The 5,476-nt window shown below is 37.5% G+C and overlaps 1 long non-coding RNA gene across 1 annotated transcript; it reads left to right on the top strand.

The window, feature by feature from the left end:
• Positions 1-4,422: 4,422 nt before the first annotated feature.
• On the top strand, positions 4,423-5,164 carry LOC105373343 (uncharacterized). The gene is made up of 2 exons (XR_938603.3): positions 4,423-4,575; positions 4,764-5,164. It is a non-coding gene; the product is annotated as an uncharacterized LOC105373343 (long non-coding RNA).
• The last annotated feature ends 312 nt before the right edge of the window (positions 5,165-5,476 follow it).

Below are 5,476 nucleotides of genomic sequence, written 5' to 3'. Positions count from 1 at the left end.
GCACCAGTCTTCCCAATGTCCCAATCCCTCAGTGGCAGATGTTCCCCCTGGCTGTGTCTAGTTGACCATCTTGATCACAGGTCTACTTTGCTCTCATAAACCCTGATAAAGCCTTGTTCCCAGTAGCCTCACAATGAGATGGAGAAGCCTCGGAGAACGCACCAATGTGGTTACTCCAGGGTGACAGAGGCGTGACTCACTTCAATTTTTGTTGTTGTCACAATTGCTTTTGAGGATCTAGCTATAAATTCTCTCCCAAGGCTGATGTCCAGAGTTGTGTTTCCTAGGTTTTCTTCTAGGATTCTTAAAGTTTGAAGTCTTACATTTAAATCTTTAATCCACCTTGAGTTACTTTTTTATATGGTGAAAGGTAGGGGTCCAGTTTTATTCTTCTGCATATGTCTAGCCAGCTATCCCAGCACCATTTAATGAAGACTGCTGTTTCCTCACTGCTAACTTTTATTGACTTTGTCAAAGATCAGATGGCTGTTGGTGTGTGGGTTTATTTCTCAGCTCTCTATTCTGTTCCATTGGTTTATGTGTGTTTTTGTACCACTATCATGCTGTTTTGGTCACTGTAGCTTTGTAGTATAGTTTGAAGTCAGGTAGTGTGATGCCTCCAGCTTTGTTCTTTTTGCCTAGAAGTCCTTTGACTATTCTGGCTCTTTTTGGTTCCATATGAATTTTAGAATAGTTTCTTCCCAATTCTGTGAAAAGTGATGTTGGTCGTTTCACAGGAATAACGTCGAAATCTGTAGACTGCTTTGGGCAGTATGTCCATTTGAATGATATTGATTCTTCCAATTCATGAGCAAGGAATGTTTTTCCATTTGTTTGTGTCATCTACAACTTCTTTCAGCAGTGTTTTGTACATCTCCTTGTAGAGCTCTTTCATCTCCTTGGTTAGATGTATTCCTAGGTAATTTTTTTGTGGCTATTGTAAATGGGATTACTTCTTGATTTGGCTGTCAGCTTGACCATTATTTGTGTATAGAAATGGTACTGATTTTTTACAATGATTTTTGTATCCTGGAACTTTACTGAAGTCATTTATCAGTTCCAGGAGCCTTTTGGTGGACTCTTTAGGGTTTTTTAGGTATAGAATCATATTGTCTGTGTAGAGAGATAGCTTGACTTCTCTATTTGGATGCCTTTTTTTTCTTTCTCTTGCTGACTGATCTGGCTAGAACTTCCATTAATTCTGTGTTGAATGTAACAAGATAAGGATGCATATTGTAATCCACACAACAAATAAAAAATAATAATATAAAAAGCTATTATTAAAAAGCCAATGGAGAAAACAGAATAAAATACAAAAAAAAAAAAAACTCTCAACCCAAATGAAGACACAAAAGAAGGATATGTATATAACAAATAACAGAGAGACCAAATAGAAAACAAAAAGAAAGTGGGTACACTTAAACACAGCCATGTCAATAATCCCACTAAATACACATGTATTAAACACTCCAACAAAAGACAGAGGTTGATGAACTTGATTTAAAAATCAATATCCAATTATATGCTCTTAACAAATAATGCACTTAAAATACAAAACACAGCTAGGTTGAAAGTACCAGGATGGAGGAGATATGCAATGCAAACAGTAGATGAGTATGGAAGAAATAACGGAGCTTCAAAATACATGAAGCAAAATTTTACAAAGTTAAAAGAGAAATGGATAAATCCATAATCACAGCTGTAAATTTAAAATCTCTTCTATTAATTATTGACAAATGAAGCAGACAAATAAATTAGTAAGGATATATGTAGTATTTGAAAACTCCTATCAACCAAATTTGACCGACACCAAGGTAAACCAAATTCTGGGTCATAAAATGAGTTTCTATATATTTTAAAATATTTAAATAGTGAAATATGTTCTCTGACCACAAAGAAATTAAATCAGAAACCAATAGCAAAAACATATCTAGAAGATCCCCAATACTTGGAAATTAGGGACATTCTTCTAAACAATTCATGGTTTAAAAAGAAATTAGAAGTGAAATTAAAGATATATCAAACTGCATAAGAAAACACAATATATCAAATTTTGTGAGATGCAGCTTAAGCAGTCCTAAGTGGAAAATTTATAGCTTTATTTTTATATTAGAAAAGAAGAATGGTTTGAAGTGAATAATATAGGATTTCACCTGAAGGGGCTACAAATTACATTGAAATTGAATAGAAAAAATAAAATAGTAAAGATAAGGAACAGAAATAATTGAAATAGAAAAAGCCAAAATGATAGACAGAAATCAAGGAAGCTGAAGATAGTTTTTAGAGGAATAAAATTCATAAAAGCCTAGCTAAAAGTAATCAAGAAAAAAAACACAAAACATAAGTTACCAATTTCAGAAATTATAGAGGTTGCATCGCTACACATGCTACACGCATTTCAAAACTATGAAGGGAATATTATGTACAACTTTATGCCAACAAATCTGACAATTTAGATGAAATGGAAAAAGCCTTTGAAAAACAATTTTCCAAAATAACATTAGACTGGACTTTTTGAATAGTGTAAATACCAAAGTTAATTCAAAACATAAAAGCTTCTCAAAAGGAAAGTTTCAGGAATGGATGTCTTCACAGATGACTACTACCAAATACTTAAGGAGGAAACAATACCAATTTTAAACAAATTGAACATTGCAAAACATTGGAGACATAAATTAAACACCTAAATAAATGAAGAGATATACGTTTACAAATTGAAGGTCTCAAAGTTGTTAAGATTTCAATTCTCCCCTTATTGATTTATAAATTCAGCACCATCACAATGAAATCATAACAGGCTTTAACATTAATAGAAAACCTGATTCTAAAATTTTTAAGAATGTAGGGAGTGTAAATTAGTTCAACCATTGTGGAAGACAGTGTGGGGATTCCTCAAGGATCTAGAACTAGAAATACCATTTGACCCAGCCATCCCATTACTGGGTATATACCCAAAGGATTATGAATCATGCTACTATAAACACACATGAACATGTATGTTTATTGCGGCACTATTCACAATAGCAAAGACTTGGAACCAACCCAAATGTCCATCAGTGATAGACTGGATTAAGAAAATGTGGCACATATACACCATGGAATACTATGCAGCCATAAAAAAGGATGAGTTCATGTCCTTTGCAGGAACATGGATGAAGCTGGAAACCATCATTCTGAGCAAACTATCTCAAGAACAGAAAACCTAACACCACATGTTCTCACTCATAGGCGGGAATTGAACAATGAGAACACTTGGACACAGGGTGAGGAGCATCACACAGTGGGGCCTGTTGGGGAGTCCGGGGCTAGGGGAGGGATAGCATTAGGAGATATACCTAATGTAAATGACGAGTTAATGGGTGCAGCAAACCAACATGGCACATGTATACCTATGTATCAAACCTGCACGTTGTGCACTTGTACCCTAGAACTTAAAAGCATAATAATAATAAAAAAGAATGTATGAGGGACCTAGAATAGCTGAAATGATCTTGTAAAAGAGGAGCAAAGTTGGATGAGCTGTGTTACCTAATTTTATGTCTTAGCATAAAATTGTGACATGACATGAAATTAATCATGACAATGTGGTTTTGGCATAAGGATAGGCAAATAGATCAATGGAACAGAATAGATGAGGAGTTGGCAATCTCTTTTTCTAAAAGGACGGATAGCAAATACTTTATGTGGTGCAGGCTATACAATCTCTGTCGCAACTACTCTGTTGTAGTGTGAAAGCAGCCATAGCTGACAGTTAGTGTATCTGTGTTCTAATAAAGTTTTATGAACACTGAAATTTCAATTTCACATAATTTTTACATCATAAAATATTCTTTTGCTTTTTTTCCTCAACCATTTAGAAATGTAAACCAAAAAAAAAAAAACAAACCCAAAAATGCCTGTCTTAGTTTACAAACCATACCAAAACAGATACAAATGGAAATTTGTTTGAGGGAAGTGGAATGATTCATATTTTGACTGAGAATTAAATAAGGCCACTGTACCTTGGAGGGATTTTAGATAAGACATCTAAAATAGTAGGTCATGGTAAAGGGTGGGAGAGAACAGAATGAACCACTGAATGGCGGTGGCTGTAGGGAATGCCTTTAAGGAAACACCTTCTCCCTGCTATGTGACCCACCAGAATTGAACATGGGGAAATGATGAGGGTAGCAGGTCATTTTGAAATGGACCTTCGGGTAGTATTTGGGGTGGAAAAATCCCCTTTCTCCAACCACATTTTGGCTACCCCAGCAACACCACCCCCACAGAGGTATCAGCGCTTTGTGATGTCCAAGCCACCCCAGGACTACCATTGGATAGGGGTGCCCCATTCTGGCCAAACAAAGCTGAAGGGTGGGGCTCCTCATTACCCAGGGGTGGGTATACATAAGGAGGTCAGGAGCATGGGGTAGACCATTGGGAGGCTTAAATATGGCTAAGGAGACCCACACACCAGTGAAGCCTAAAGAAAATATGAAACAACCAATTCTAAGCACGAAAAAGCCTACCCCAAGAACCAAAGAGAAGAAGGAAAAGAAGAACTCTTCTCAACAAAAGACCAACAAAAATGGCAAGGTCAGATGATCCTATCCTTGTTCCTTCTTTTCTTCCCCCTCTATTCTCTCAAGACCCCTATCCTGTCCTTGCCTAGCACAACCCCCTTCCTCAGCCTGCACTCCTATTCATAAAGCTCCCCTTCCTATACAACCTCTTTCTCTTCCCCTTAACCGATGTCCTTCTGGCTCACTGTGTTGTCCTTCCAGGTGGAGAAGAAAATCATAAAGGTAAAAAAACCCCTTCAAAGGAATTCAAGAAAAAAAACTCAATCACCTCCTTCCTGCTCCAAAAAGCCTAGGATAACAATGAGACCAACAATATTTGTGTGTCACCACAAGCAGAATAAGACACAACATAAAAATCAGAAGAGCAAGCACAAAAGACAACAGAAAATGAAAATCAGAAGAGCAAGCCCAGAAGCCGCTGGCAAAAGCAAACCATCCCAAGTAACCATCTCTGCTGCCAGTAAATGCAGAGCCTGGATCAGAAACGTACAACTAGCAACAGCAACTCTGGGGAATCACCAATCACATAAAGGCCAAAGCTGAGCCCAACAGTGTTCCACCCATGCTGATGAATGCAATAAAATCAGCACAATGTAAAAGGATGATGTGGATGTTTGTCTGTAGTGGGGAGGGGGTTAAGGAAGAAAAACTGCTAAGAGGGAGAGAGGCAGGGTCCTGTAAGGTTGGGGGCCAGACCAACAGGTATACAGTTAGCCATCGGGGGATAAGGAGTGGGTGAGGACTAAGAAATGAAGACAAATCAACACTTTGCCCCACAGACAAGAAGAAAAAGGGCTTTGGCGTTTCTACATGTACTTAGGGTAGGTGTGGGTAGCAACATCAAGGTCTAAATTCCCAGAACCCAGTTAGGAGGAGGGTTTTATGTGTGATGTGTGTGGCAATAACACACCCCA

The sequence above is a fragment of the Homo sapiens genome, chromosome X (genome assembly GCF_000001405.40).
Source record: "Homo sapiens chromosome X, GRCh38.p14 Primary Assembly".
NCBI classification, from domain to species: domain Eukaryota; kingdom Metazoa; phylum Chordata; class Mammalia; order Primates; family Hominidae; genus Homo; species Homo sapiens.
Note: the sequence above shows the minus strand (reverse complement) of the source record. Positions and strands in the feature narration are given on the sequence as shown.